Source organism: Homo sapiens, chromosome 14 (genome assembly GCF_000001405.40).
Source record: "Homo sapiens chromosome 14, GRCh38.p14 Primary Assembly".
NCBI lineage: Eukaryota > Metazoa > Chordata > Mammalia > Primates > Hominidae > Homo > Homo sapiens.
The window spans coordinates 60,118,694-60,133,969 of record NC_000014.9 but is presented as its reverse complement, the minus strand read 5'-3'; the positions used below and the strand labels follow the sequence as shown (position 1 = coordinate 60,133,969).

The 15,276-nt window shown below is 35.8% G+C and overlaps 1 protein-coding gene across 4 annotated transcripts in view; it reads right to left on the bottom strand.

Moving 5' to 3' along the window:
* PCNX4 (pecanex 4) overlaps positions 1 to 15,276 on the bottom strand; it is a 56,311-nt gene that overhangs the window by 14,252 nt on the left and 26,783 nt on the right. For 2 of the 4 annotated variants that reach the window (NM_022495.5, NM_001330177.2), the window contains 3 exons: positions 12,671 to 12,774; positions 8,719 to 9,752; positions 8,147 to 8,333 (listed from right to left, as the gene is read on the bottom strand). In NM_022495.5, the coding sequence (NP_071940.4) occupies positions 8,147 to 8,333; positions 8,719 to 9,752; positions 12,671 to 12,774 (1,325 nt within the window). Of the gene's footprint in view, positions 1 to 184; positions 315 to 8,146; positions 8,334 to 8,718; positions 9,753 to 12,670; positions 12,775 to 15,276 lie in introns of those variants that run through there. The other 2 variants (XM_047431699.1, XM_047431700.1) reach the window with 2 other exon arrangements.

The following is a 15,276-nucleotide window of genomic DNA, read 5'->3' as shown; positions in this document are numbered from 1 at the left end:
CTTTAAAGTAAAAAGGGTAGGAGGAGGAGAAAAAGAAAAGAGATTCCATTTAGGTCTTTATATTTTATTCATAAACTTAGAGAAAAATTGCATTGTAATTAGGCAAACTTTTCCCAAGTTCAAAAAACAGAAAGTAGTGTTTAAAAATGTACACAAGTTGCCTGTATTCAGAATCAAGAATTACCTCTACTTCCTTGGTTCTTTAAATAAAAGTTTCCTGGCAGCCATCTCAATCACCATTAGGCAAAATCTTAGTCACTTCTCTTTGTCTGCCTTTTCTGATCTGTTGCCTCAGCGATGCATAGTCATAAATACTATTTGGTGGTGAATGATACAATAGGCTCTTTTTAAAGAAACAGCTTTGTTGAGATATAATTCACATTCCATATAATTCACATTTACTTACTATATGCAATTCAGTGGCTTTTATTATAGTCACAGATACGTGCAACCATCACCACAGTTAAGTTTTAAAACATCATAACCTCAAGAAGCATCCTTGTACTCTTTAGTTATCACCATCCTATCTCCTCACTGACCATTCCCTAAGCAACCACTAACATACTTTCTATCTTTATAGACTGGCCTGTTCTGTAAATTTCACTTGAAATGAATCACATAATATGTGGTCTTTTGTGACCGATTTCTTTCACTTAGCATATTTTCAAGGTTCATCTATGTTGTAGCATGTATCAGTACCGTATTCCTTTTTATGGCAGAATAATATTCCATCATATGGATATAATAAAATTTGTTTTCAGCAATTGATGTACAGTTGGTTTGTTTCCACCTTACAGCAATTAAGAATAATGTTGCTATAAACATTCATGTACAAGGTTTCATGTGGATTTATGTTTTTATTTCTCTTAGGTATACATACTTAGGGATAGAACTGCTAGGTCACATGTCAACTCTATGCTTAACTATTTGAGAAACTGCCAGAATGTTTTCCAAAGTGGCTGTACCATTTTACATTCCCAAGAGCAGAAGAGGGTTCCAATTTCTCCACATCTTGTTAACACTTATTTTCAGACCTTTTGATTTTAGCCATCCTGTGTGTGTGAAGTGTTATTTTATTGTAGTTTTGATTTGCACTTCCCTGATGACTAATTATACGGAGCACTTCTCATGTACTTATTGGCAACTTGTACATCCTCTTTAAAGAAATGTCTATATAGATCCTTTGTCCACATTAAAATCTATTTATCTTTTTATTATAGAGTTGTAAGTTTTTTTTTTATATATTCTAGTAACAGTCCCTTATCAGATATGGGCAAATATTTTTCCCATTCTGTGAGTTGTCTTTTTACTTTTTTGATGGTGTCCTTTGAGGAACAGAAGTTTTTACTTTTGATGAAGTCATATTTATCTATTTTTCTTTTGTTTCTCATGCTTTTGGTGTCATATCTAAGAATCTATTGCCAAGTTTAAGGTCATGAAGATTTACCCTTATGTTTCCTTCTAAGTTTTTTATGGCTCTTATGTTTAGGTCTTTGATGTATTTTTGAGTTATTTTAAAAATACCGTATATAAAGTAAGGTCTGTAGTGGGTTAAATAACATCTATTTGAAGTTACCTGTGAATGTGACCTTATTTGGAATGGGTACTTTGCAGATGTAATTAAAGATTTAGAGATGAGATCATCCTGGATTTAGGTGGGTCCTAAAGCCAGTGACTGACATCCTTATAAAAGAAAGTAGTGGTAGAATTGACACATGAGAGTATAGAGAATAAGGCCATGTAAATACGGAGACAGAGACTGGAGTTACTCAGCCATAGCCAAAGAATGTTAAGGGCCACCAGAAGTTGGAAGAGGCCAGGAGAGATTCTTTCCTAGAGCCGTTAGAGGAAGCGTGGCTCTACTGGCACCTTGGCTTCAGCCTTCTAACCTTTAGAACTATGAGAGAATAAATTTCCATTTTTTAAAAAGTCACCCAGTTTGTGGTAATAATTGTTGCAGCAGCCCTTAGAAACTTATACTAGTAATCCAACATTATTCTTTTGAATGTTGCTATCGGAAGATGATTTCCCCAGTGAATGGTCTTGGCATCCTTGTTGAAAATTAGCTGGCTAAAGACCCATGGGTTTATTTCTGGATCCTCAATTCAATTCCACTGATTTATATGTCTATCATTATGCCAGTACCATACTGTTTTGATTATTGTTTCACGTAAGTTTTGAAACTTGGAAGTATGAGTCGGCCAATTTTCTTTTTCAAGATTGTTCTGGCTATTCAGGGTCTCTTGAAATTCCATATAAATTTTAGAAAATCAACTTGTCAATTTCCACAAAGAAGCCAACTGGAATTCTGAAAAGGACTGTGTTGAATCTGTAGATATATTTGGAGAGTATTGCCATCTTAACAATATTATTTTGATTTATGAACACTGGATGTTTATTTATTTAGATAGTTTTCTCTTTTAACAATGTTTTGTAGTTTTCAGAGTGTAAGCTTTGTACTACTACTGTTCAATTTTTCCTAAGTATTTTATTCTTTTTGATGCTATTTTAAGTGGGATTTCCTTAACTTCATTTTTGGTTTGTTCATTGCTAGTGTGTAGAAATTCACCAGATTTTTGTATGTTGATCTTATATCTTGCAACCATCCTGAATTTGTTAATCAGTTCTAAGCTTTTTAGTTGATTCCTTAGATATTCTATACATTAAGATCATGTCAGCTGTGAATAGAGACAATTTTACTTCTTCCTAATCTGAATGCCTTTTCTTTCTTTTTCTTGCCTAATTACTCTGGTGTCTTAGCTCAGGCTGGTATAACTAAATACCATAGACTAGGTGACTTAAAGAAGAGACATTTATTTCTCATAGTTCTAGAGGCTGGGAGGTCCAAGATCGGGGTGGTTTCATGGCTGGGTTCTGATGAGGGCTATCCTCCTAGCTCATGGATAGCCATCTTCTTATTCTGTTCTAAGCAGAAAGACAGGAAGCTGTGGGTGTCTCTTCCTCTTCCTATAAGGGCACTAATCCCATCATGGGGCTCCATGCTCACGATCTCATCTAAGCCTAATTACCTCCCAAAGGCCCCACCTCCTACTACCATCAGGCTGGTCTCAAACTCCTGACTTCAGGTGATCCGCCTGCCTCGGCCTCCCAAAGTGCTGGGATTACAGGTGTGAACCACTGCGCCCAGCCTTATGTTAACCTTAAAAAAAAAAAATGCTATTTCTCTTTCTTCCTGTAGATTCAAGAATCCAGAAATGAATTATCTGGATTCATTTCCTTTATCCAGTACAGCTTTGCCTCTACTGGCTTCCTTTGTGCAATTATTAGCAAATTACATTCCTATATGTTATAGGCCCAACAATACATGAATACATATTGTTTTAGGCTTCAACATATAAATTCGGGGCGTACATAAACATTCAGTCCATACCACCTGGCTAGAAGTTCTAGTACAATGTTTAATAGAAGTGGTAAGGGTAGACATTCTTGTCTTCTTGATCTTAGGGGTAAGCATCCAATCTTCACCAATAATGATGATGTTCACTGTGAGTTTTTCATAGATGTTCAGGTTGAAGAAGTTCCCTTCTTTCCTATTTTGTTTTTACTATGAAAGGGTGTGGGATTTTGTTAAATAGTTTTTTTATATCTACCGAGATGATCATGTGGTTTGTGTCTTTTATTTTATATATTACATATTTATATATTAATAAAATATTATATATTTTATATATCATAGCACTTCCTGTGCTCAAGCAATCTTCCCACTTCAGCCTCCAGAGTAGCTGGGACTACAGGAACATACCACCATGTATGGATAATTTTGTTTATTTTTTTTAAGAGACAAGGTCTTACTATGTTGCCCAGGCTAGTCTTGAACTCCTGGACTCAAGTGATTCACCTGCCTTGGCCTCCCAAAGTGCTGGGATTACAGGCATTTTCTTAAATCCAATCCGATAATCTCTGCCTTTCATTTGGATTATTTAATCCATTCCCATTAATTTTATTACTGAAATAGCTGAATTTTGCCTGTCATTTTCCTTTGTTTTCTTTGTCTCATATCTTTTTTATCCCTTTTTCTTGACTTTTATCCCTCTTTCGTGACTTTCTCTCGTATTGACTATTTTGTAATATGCCATTTAAATTTCTTTAATGATTGTTTTCACTTTTTTTCTCAGTTATTTCCTCAATGGTTGACTAAAGCTTACTATCTCTGTCTTACAAGATTCAGCCTCAGATTTACACTAATTGTGGTGAAGCAGAAATATTACTCTTACAACGTTCTAGTTCCTTTTCTTCCCTTCTGTGGCACTGTTATACATATCACATTATAAACGTTACAAATCCAACAGTACATAGTTATAATTATCACTTTATATAATTTTATGCCTTTAAGAGAAGCTGAGAGAAAAGGGAGCAAGTATACATTTATTGTGTTTGTTATATTAATTATTTTTCAGAGACAGGGTCTTGCTCCATCACCTAGGATGGAGTGCAGTGGTGCAATCATAGCTCACTATAACCTGAACACCTGGCTCAAGTAGTCCTCCCACCTCAGCCTCTAAAGTGGTAGCTAGGACTACAAATGCACGCCACCACACTTGGCTAATTTTTATTTTTTGTAGAGATGGGCTCTTGCTATGTTGCCCGGACTGGTCTCAAACTCCTGGTCTCAAAGCAATCCTCCTGCCTTGGCCTCCCAAAGTGCTGGGATTACAGTCATAAGTTACCATGCCCAGCCTTGTTATGTTATCCTTCTTTTTTTTTTTTTGAGATGGAGTCTCGCTCTTGTTGCCCAGGCTGGAGTGCAGTGGTGCAATCTCGGCTCACTGCAACCTCCACCTTCTGGGTTCAAGCGATTCTCCTGCCTCAACCTCCCAAGTAGCTGGGATTACAGGCGCCCGAGTAGCTGGGATTACAGGCACCCACCACCACACCCAGCTAATTTTTTTTGTAGTTTTAGTAGAGACAAGGTTTCACCATGTTGGCCAGGCTGGTCTCAAACTCCTGACTTCAGGTGATCCGCCTGCCGCGGCCTCCCAAAGTGCTGGGATTACAGGTGTGAACCACTGCGCCCAGCCTTATGTTAACCTTAAAAAAAAATGCTATTTCTCTTTCTTCCTGTAGATTCAAGAATCCAGAAATGAATTATCTGGATTCATTTCCTTTATCCAGTACAGCTTTGCCCCTACTGCCTTCCTTTGTGCAATTATTAGCAAATTACATTCCTATATGTTATAGACCCAACAATACATGAATACATATTGTTTTATAGAATTGCTTTTCAAATGAGTTAAGAGAAGAAATATGCCTTTTTATTGTTTTTTATAATTACACAGTTACCTTTATTGGTGCTCTTTGTTTTTGTGTGTGAATTTGAATTATTGTCTGTGGTCACTTACTTTCAGCCTGAAGAACTCTAGTATTTCTTGTAAGGTGGGTCTGGTAGCAACAAATTCTGTTTTTGTTTATCTGGGAATTTCTTTATTTTGCTTTCATTTTTGAAAGATCACTTTGCTAGATATAGGGTCCTTGGTTAACCTTTCTGTTTTGGGGTTTTCTTTAGGGGGCACTTTGAATATGTCATTCCATGCTTCTGGCCTCCATTGCTTCTGATGACAAATCAGAATTTTATATGACTTTCCTTAAAATGTACAAGTAGTTTTTACTTGGTGCTTTCAAGGTTTTCTCCTGGTCTTTGGATTTCCACATTTTTACTATGATGTATTTGCCTGCGGATCTCTTTGCATTTATTCTAAAGTTCACTGAAGTTCCCGGATGTGTGGATTAATGTTTTACAATAAATTTAAGAAGTTTCAGCCATTATTTCAACAAATAATTTTTTTTCTCCCTTCTCTCTCTCTCCTCTCCTTCCGATACTAAGTGTATGTTGGAGCAGTTAATGGTGTTCCACGTTTCTCTGAAGCTCTCTTCCTTTTTATTCATTCTTTTCTCTTCTTTGGATTGCATAATCTCTATTGATCTAGAATCTTCAAGTTCACTAATTCTTTCTTCTGCCAGTTTAAATCTACTGTTGAGCCCCTCTAGTGGAATTTTTCATTTGGTTCTTTTTTATAATTTCTATCTCTACATACATTCTCTATTTGATGTGATTGTCACCATACTGTCCTTTATTTCTTCAACCATGATTTCCTTTGGTTCTATGAACATATTTATAATGACTACTATGAAATCTTTTATTAAATCTGACATCTGTTCCCTCTTACAGGCAAGCCTGGTTGTCTGCTTTTTTCCCCCGATATATGGGTTAGACTTTCCCATTTCTTTGCATATCTCAACTTTTTGTTGAAAATTGGATATTCCAGGTAACACTGTAGAAATTCTGGGTGCTGGTCCTCTTCATTCCTAACTCCAGGGCTTGTTATTATTATGTACTTGTTTGTTTAGTGATTGGCTGGCTTATTGTAGTGAAGTCAGTATCTGTCTGCTCCCTACCATACCCTGCCCAGTTTGAAGTCTCAGATATGACCTCTCATAGAGTACAGCCAAACTGTGAATGCACACAGCTACCTTGGGATGGTTTTGGCACGGCTATCTTGTCTGTTAAGTGTTCATACCCAGCTATTAAGCTCCACTGATTGCCAGCTGGTTACTCTATGTTTTCAACAGAGACCTGGGGCATAAATTGCTCCACAGACTGATCCAATTAAACATGAACTCCTTGAAAGGAATAGCTTTTGATGTGTTTGAGATTTGTTCTGATCCCAGGAAGGCTCTTTGCTCTTTCTTCCCCTGAAAAAAATCTAGCCAGTTTACAGTTTAGCTTAATGAACCTACCAGTCTCCTAAACATTAGTTTGCACCACAACCTCCACCATTTATGTTGTTTTCTTTTTTTGACACTATCATAAAACAGCAAGTCCTCCATTGTTTTCAAGAACATTTTGGGCTTTAATGTGTCTACACTCCGTTGCAGATAAATCAGTTCCTCTGGGAAGAAGAGATTCAGAGCTTTTGTTGTTGTTAATAATAATTTGCTTCTCCCACTGGGCAAAATCTCTGAGCCAGAGTTCTGGGCGATAGCATGCTTCTCTCTTGAGCGACACTTCTGCTTTAGGAGATAAGCATTTGGTGGAGGGAAGGAGTAGCCTCAGGTCTCTCTAGCTTGCCTCTCCCAGCATAAGACCTCCACATTATGAGTGGGCAAGAGTGATCAAGGCCCCAGTATTTTCAGTGGCATCACACCCAAGATAAAGTCTCCATCCCGTAAGTGCGGTTGGCCAGAAGGGAATCTTTACTTGGACATCACATGCCTGGAATCCAGCCTCAGCAACACATAGCTGGGACAGGATTAAAAACGTTGAACTCCTGCCCTTCCTAGGAAACAGTCCTCCAACTGGGAGCTGACAGAGAAGAGAGCCTACGTTCTGGGTTGTACCAGTCTGAGGGGAGATTCCATCTTGCTGAGGTTCAGGTAGGGTAGGTCTTGGTTCAAATACTGCAGTCTCTTGCTATTCTCACTGGGTTTTAGCAGATTTCTTTGAATAAATGTGTGTTCATTTGCTGTATGCCCTTAGGAGACTTTCTAAGACTTTAAATGGTTACTTAAAAAAAAGAATTTTCATCAGTTTCACTAGGGAGTGCATTTGCAGAGCTCCTCAAACCATAATGCCAGACAGACAAAACCATGATAAGCTCATAACATTGAATCTTTCATGTTGTGTACACTTGACAACATTTTAAATGCAATAAGAACAAGTACTAAATCTTAAAGAGTCATCCCCTATTTTAAGTCTCTGGATTTTCACAGGTTAGGTTTGCTTCAATACAGTATAAATGTCAGCAAAATACTTTGCCACTTACAGATAAATTTTTCTAGGAGTCAAATCCAAGTGATGATTCATACACTTGAACACAGGAATACAATCCATTTAATCAAATATGTTATAGCATACTACACATACTTAGCTCTCTTATAGGTCAGGCATTGCACTATGGCTACACAACATTTTTAATTGGCTCCTCTTCAGTTGGCAAAAGTAGAGAAATCAGCTATTCTAGAGTTCATCTAGCTTAGCCAAAAAGTCATGATTACAAATGCCTTAAAACTATAATTAATATATCACAGCTATAACGTTATATCATTTATCACTTAGTTCAAATACTTTATAACTTATATCCATTCTTTAAGGTTAGTATATGTAAGTTTAAAAATTTTTTAACCTTACCATATTAGAATCATACCCCAGAGAAAACAAGTATGGCTTTTCTTGTAAAATTGCTTCCTTCCACTTTTCATCAGATACCAAACCAATGTACCAGTCACGTTCATATTCTTCAAGGTACTTAATCAGTTCTCTAAAGTCTTCTATTGGACCTAAACTTGCTTTATCAATCATTAGTTTCAGAGTATACCTAAAAAAAATGGAGAACCGAAGAATTTTAGAATATTTGCTGTCAACTTTAAAGATCAAATAGATTTTGTTAAACCAATATTTTAAGACATTGAACTGAAATCATATCTATTTCAGATAAAAAGTGGAGGAAGAAATGATGCAGTTAAGGTGAAGAAATCAGAAAGCCATAAAAAAACCAGGTTTTCCATATAAACAAAACCAAAGGAAGCACAAATTAAAGTGTACCCTTGATACAATCACACTACACATGAAACATTTTTTTCATTTTGAAGAAAGTAAATTTTAAAAAACTAGAAACGAATAACTGTCTTCTTGTACGTGATTTAGAAAAATCAGTATTTTTCCAACAATGTTATAACTTACATATGATCAAAATGGATTACCTGAATGCTTTCAGTGCTAGTTGAAACAGTTCTGGCTTTTCTGTGAGCCAGTCCAAAGCAACAGACCAAGGCAAAACACCACCGTAAACTCTCAATATATGACCAGGACTAGGAGCCATATTGTCTATTCCAAATAAACTAAAATAACAAGTCATTACTGTATGAACATAAAAGTCTTTTAAAACTTTGTCCTTGGCAATTTCTTCCAGTACATTTGAGGCCTTCTCTTCTGAATGATAACATTCCAACTGCCTTAGAACAAATTGGTACCAGTCTTCTGGAAATAACGAGCTCATCTCCTTCATTTTGGAACTGGGCATACAGCTAGTCCTCCACTCTGCGGGTAAGCATACTAAGTGAGAATGTGAACAACTGAACTCCATGAGAGGAATATATGGCATGTCCTCTTGTTTTCCTTTGTCAACAGCAGGGTATCCTAATAGAACTGCTTTGTAAAGATCGTTTTCAGGAACAGTGCCTGTAGAATGATCACCAACCCTCTGTGATTCTACTGATCCTGGAATAAACAAATTTGTACCTGGCAAATCTTTCAACTGATGTTTTTCTTCTATTACTTTTTTGATAGTTGGCTCATCATCAAAAATATTATCATCAGACCAGTCATTAAAAGTTTCTGAATTTAAACTGTCTATGTCTTCTGGGGATTTGGGAGGTGGCAAAGTGTTCAAAGCAGGCAACATTAGAGGTGCTTTCCCTTTATTTTCAGTGTTGTGAACATTCTCTTTCATGCCAGGCCTTTTGGAGCAGTATTGAACAAGTATCCACACAAGTACTTTAATGAGGTCACCTTTAAATTCTTTTAAGTTTTCATGAGAATCAATTATGCCTGATAGAACATTCCTGGCATCAGAATACAATTTCACAGGCAAAACAGTACAGGGTGTCAAGACATTTCCAAAGTGTTCATTAAGGGAACATACTCTTGTGTATTCTTGCTCAAAAGCATCTTCAAAAACTTCATCAACTCTGCGAGCTTCTGCAGTATGACAGGATGTTTCCTGCAATTCTAACCCCTAAAGAAGAAATAAAAAGTACTTGAGTTTATAATCATTTATTACATAATATACAGCAACTAGTCATGTAAATGCCCATAGATTCTCATCACAAAAATATGGAAAATGACAAAAACAATTTCTTTAACTCAAGAGCAACATCCTGACTTAAAGTTAATGGCACTTAACACATTTGATTCTGGATAGAGATTAAAAATAATGCTACTATTATTTTTTAAAATATTATGGAAATTCTACTAGAAATTGAGCAAATTTAGTAGGTATGAATATAATTTTAAAAGACTATAATGATAGTTAAGAGTGAGCCACACAATAAAAACTTTTAAATTATAATCCTGGAGGAGAAAAAAAGCAAAATTAGAATTATACAGTATATACAGTAGTATTATATGCTTTCCATCCCACTTTATGAGACTAATAGCATTATTCAGTGTATGGATGTGCCAGAATTTATCAGTCTCCTGTTCCAGATTTATAACATCAGAATGCAGATTTACTTCTTTGATTACTTTGGTTACTGCTATGTCAGTAGTGCCTAAACCAGTATCTGGTACACAGTGGGTATGCAACAAATATATGCTGAGTGAATATCATCAATATATCCTTACATAAATTTTAAACACCTTTTGATTACCTCCTTAGAAGGAATCACTTGAAAAGGAGGTATCAGGTCACTATTTACTATTATAATTGCTACTGCTTATTTAAATATTGCTTATTTATATATTTTTACAAAGGTGTCAGTGCCTTCAGAACTTGTTTTTCAGTCACAGCTCCACCAGGTGCTGGCAAGAACTTGAGCAGGTCACCTACCCTCTCTGAGATTCCTTTTTCCTGTTTCAAAGGAAAATAATCCTAGTGTATATGGTTGTGAAGGTTGCATGTTTTGTAAATTTTAAAGTATTAATATAATTGTTAATAGATGGCATGGCCTAACCCAGCTTGTGTCAAAAAAAGACAGACAGAAAAAAAGAGTAACACCAAAAAGTATATTTTTAAACCACATATGTCACAGAGCACAAAGGATCAATCAACATTATTAGGTATTATTAAACCATATCATTTTTAAATAGAATAAAATTAAGTAATCAAAATGTCCTCAATATTTTTTGTCTTCTGGTATGGGTTAGACTAGAGCAGAGGTTCTCAATCTGTAGGTGAGTCAGCATCACTCGGAGCGCTGTTTGAAATACAGGTTGCTGATCCCACCCCTAGAGTTTCTAACTTAGTAGGTTCAGGGTAGGGCCCAAGAATTTCCACTTCTAACAAGTTCTCAGGAAATATTACTAATACTAGTCAGGGCACTGCATTTTGAGAACCACTGGACTAAAGAGACAGCTTTTTAGTCACTAGCGATTTTATCCAATCTGTGCTAGTACAAAAAATTCACTTACTATTCATTATATAAAACAAAACAAAACAAAACATTTGTTAAAGGCCTATTCTGTGCCAGGCACTGTTTCAGGGGCTTAGGATGTATTCCTGAATAAAAACAAGAGATCCCTGTGCTTATGATACTACTTATAAAGTGAGGGACATGGGTAATCACCAGTAAAACTAATAAGTAAATTACATAGTTTGTGAGAAGGTATAAGTACTATAAAAATAAGGAAAAAGTAAAGCAAGGCAAGGGGGGGTTGGGAGTGCTGGGATAAGAGTGGGAGTGTAATTTTAAATATGATGGCCATAGGAAATCTCACTGAGGAGGTGACATTTGAGCAAAGACCTGAAAGTGGTGAGGGAGGGAGTTAGGTGATTATATGCAAGTAGAGTGTTTTAGGCAGAGGGAATAGCCAGGAGGCTGGAATAGAGTGAGAGGGTTAAAGCAATAAAGGCCAAAGAGGGAATAGGAAGCCTAGCCATTTAGAGCCTGGCTTTTACTCTAAATGAAAGAAGAGATCCACTGCAGGGTTTTGACTACAGAAGTGACATGGTTTGACTTAGATTTTAAAGATCATTCTGGCTGACAGTATACTGTAGGGGCACATAGGTGGAAGCAGGATGACCAATTAGGAGGCTATTTCAATTATCCAGGTAAGGGATCAAGGTGGCTGGGACCAAGGTGGTAAAAAGAGATGGGATACAGAATATGGTTTACAGGTGGAGCCCATAGGATTTCTTGTCGGACTGGGCGTGGGAGTATACAAGTGAAAAAGGAGTTAAACATGACTCTAGAATTTTTGGCCTGAACAACCAGAAGGACAGAGTTGTCAGCAAGGACTACTAGGCTCTGGGACACCCTTGTGTTAAAAGGTCAAAGAAAAGAGAAGGAACCACAAAGTAGAGAAGTAACCCATGAAACAAGTGAAAAGAAGAGAATAGCTGTGTAAAATGCTGCTGATGGTTCGAATAAGACTGGTTCTGAGAGTTGATCACTGGACTTAGCAATGTGCCAGTCACTAGAGACCTTGACAAGAGCAGGCTGGGTGGAGTAGTAGGGTCAAAAACCTAGAGTAAGTTGAAGATAGAATGAAAGAAATTAAATTGGAGATACAATTATAAACAGCTCTAATAAGGCCATTTTGCTCTTCAAGGAAGGAGACAAATAGGGTATAGCAGGTAGGGGCAGTAGGATTAGAAGACAGTTTTTATTAAGTTGAGAATGCTTAAATGATATAGGAGTTAAAAAAAAATTACTGATTCACACTTTTGAGATGCTCAACTTGACAGAGATAACAAGAATAGGACTGGAAGAAAAGGAAGCAGGTATATTTTGCTACCATGCTCTATTATACAATTAACATTAGTCCACCTATCAACATGTGCTTATTGAAATATACTTTAAAAATCCCTAGGTGTTTTCACAGGTAATTGAAAAGATATTCTTCTTTCAAATTGAGTGTTTGATGTGAACATAACAGGTAAAATTTTACACATGAACTATAAAAATACTACAGATGTTTTATATGCACACTGACCTTAATGTTAATAGAGCAGTAAGTATAGCCACATTCCAGAATCATTATCCACATTAAACGATCCTGAAAACGGCCCAAGTAATGAGATCCAGGTAGGAGGAGACCTACAACAAATTAGAAAAAAAAAAAAAAAAAAAAGAAAATCATTTTCAAACTTCTTTTATTTTGCCATGTGAATCTTCAAAACTAAAAAGACATCTAGAACTGATTCACGACTCCTACCCTCTCATTAGGTCAAGAACAGAAATAACTATTCATGTGTATCAGGAGGCATTAAATTAACTCTTTACAAGAGCAGTTGGAACAGATAATCTACAGGTGATACTACATAAAAACTCAAGGATTTTCCAGAAAAACAAATTAGAAGTTGTTGTATACAATCTTAAATACATGTTAATTATATTAGGAAAAGTATTGAGTTTATAAAAGGCAGCTTGACAGTCATGACTTAAAATATTTTTGACATTTTTATACATGGATATAAACATATAAAAAGTGTTTTGTGGTTTAAAAATGTACATAAAATGCTACATACCATACAAATACTTTTTAAATTTAGTTTTTCTCTAAATACTTTTATTAATGAGATTTGCCCACATCTATGGCAAACAGCTAAAATTTATAACTGCTGTCGAAAATACATTGTATCAATTTAACTGAATTTGAGTATTCATTTCCTTATTGATAAACTTTTCAGATGTTTCCAACTTTTCACTATTGTAAATAATGTTGCAGAAATTATCTTTGTGCAAGTCGGCTTGTACAATATGTGGTTCAGAACAGTGTTAACATACCAGAACCAACTACTATCCTTCAAAAGGTCTGCTTATATGGTTGGTCCTTGCCTGGCATCTGGGAACCCCCTACCTGATAAGACTCTCGTATTGTGTCTAACTGTACAAACAATATAGTATATACTGAACATCTGCTCTCCTTTTGGGATTCTGGAGTATTGGTATGTCCTAGGCAGACAGCGCCTGCATGACCAGCCTGCAGTAAAAGCCCTGGGCATTGAGTCTCAAATGAGTTTCTCTGGCAGTCAACATATCACACATCACAACTTGTTGCCAGGGCATTAAGCACATTCTGTGCAACTCTGTGCAACTCCTGGAGACTTGCACCTGGTCTCTTTTACTCCTTATGATTTTTCCCTTTGCTGATTTTGCTCTGCATCCTTTTGGTGTAATAAATCTTAGCTGTCAGTCCTCCTAGTGAACCATCAAACCTGGGGTAGTCTTGAGGACCCCCCAAAACACATGTACTAGAATTTCTCTAGAACTGGAATCACTAAATCATGGAATCTAAAACTGGAATCCCTGAGCCACGGGATATATACATCTTTATTACAGACTACCATTTAACTCTTCAAAGTGGTTGTACAAATTTACATTTCCTTCCAGAAAGGTCTGAAAGTTCTTGTTCCCCATGCCCTAGCCAATACTTGGTAGTGTCAAATTGTTTACATTTTTGCCACTCTGATGTATGTGAAATATTATTTCATTGCTTTTTTCCCCACCAGAAAATACTTTATAACGCAATTCTTGGTTGAGTATAATTGGTTTGATAATAAAGTATAATTTTTATCTAATTACTATTTCTGATGGGAGTTTAACCCCACAGGTGTTTTAAAAAATAAAACAGCATTACATAATGAAAATTAATTAACACTGGATAAAAGTATTGTAAGTATAGACTATTTTCTATAAGACAAATGACTATTCACAAAACATCTGTAGTACAAAGATAAAATATTTTTTTCTCATAAATCATCTCACATAATAATTAGAAAAGTTCAACCTGAAGTAAGCATTTTATTAAAATTCTAATCTTAAATTGTTACTCTGCCTAGAATGAGTTTGTCAGAAAGTTATCTGTCATTTTAAAAACAAGTTTCAGGGGTTAAAGCACATGGCAGGAGATGACACACTAGTGTCATCAAATTATACCTTATCTAAAACCAACCTTGAGAAGTACAATACAGTTAAAATTTACAGTTAGTGTTTGACAAAAGCATTAAAACTCATAACATTAGTTTACTGTCATCAAAAACCTATTATCTTGCTAGTAACTGAATAGCATTTCATTTTGGGAGGCTACCGTACCTACTGATCACTGACCGAAGTTTTTATGTTATCTTGTCCAGACTGCTTAAGTCTCTGTAACTCATAAAGCATGAACAAAACTCCATCTGCTCCTCAAGCTGATATTATGTAAAGCTAGTTTTCACTAAACTTTATGAACGTATGCTACTGCATTTACTTGACATGAACTCATTATAAATTCATGAAAATCTTCGGGGAAAGGTGTTTCCATGTTTCGATGGTGCATTGTAATCTGAATTTATTCAAGAAAATGTATTTAAAAAATTATAAAATCACCTTAATAAAAATTTCCCTGAGTATTTTTATTTTGTAACTTAATTTAGATGAAAACAAGGAGCAGGAGATAAACTTCTAATTTCATATTTAGTCTTTCTGCCTACACATCAAATTGTTATGGTTGTTATGCTATCTTATGGTTGGATAAAAAGATTGTTTTCCTGTTTGTTATTTTTTTGTACTTTAAATACATTAGTGAGAAATTCTTGAGCACAACCCATTTACTTA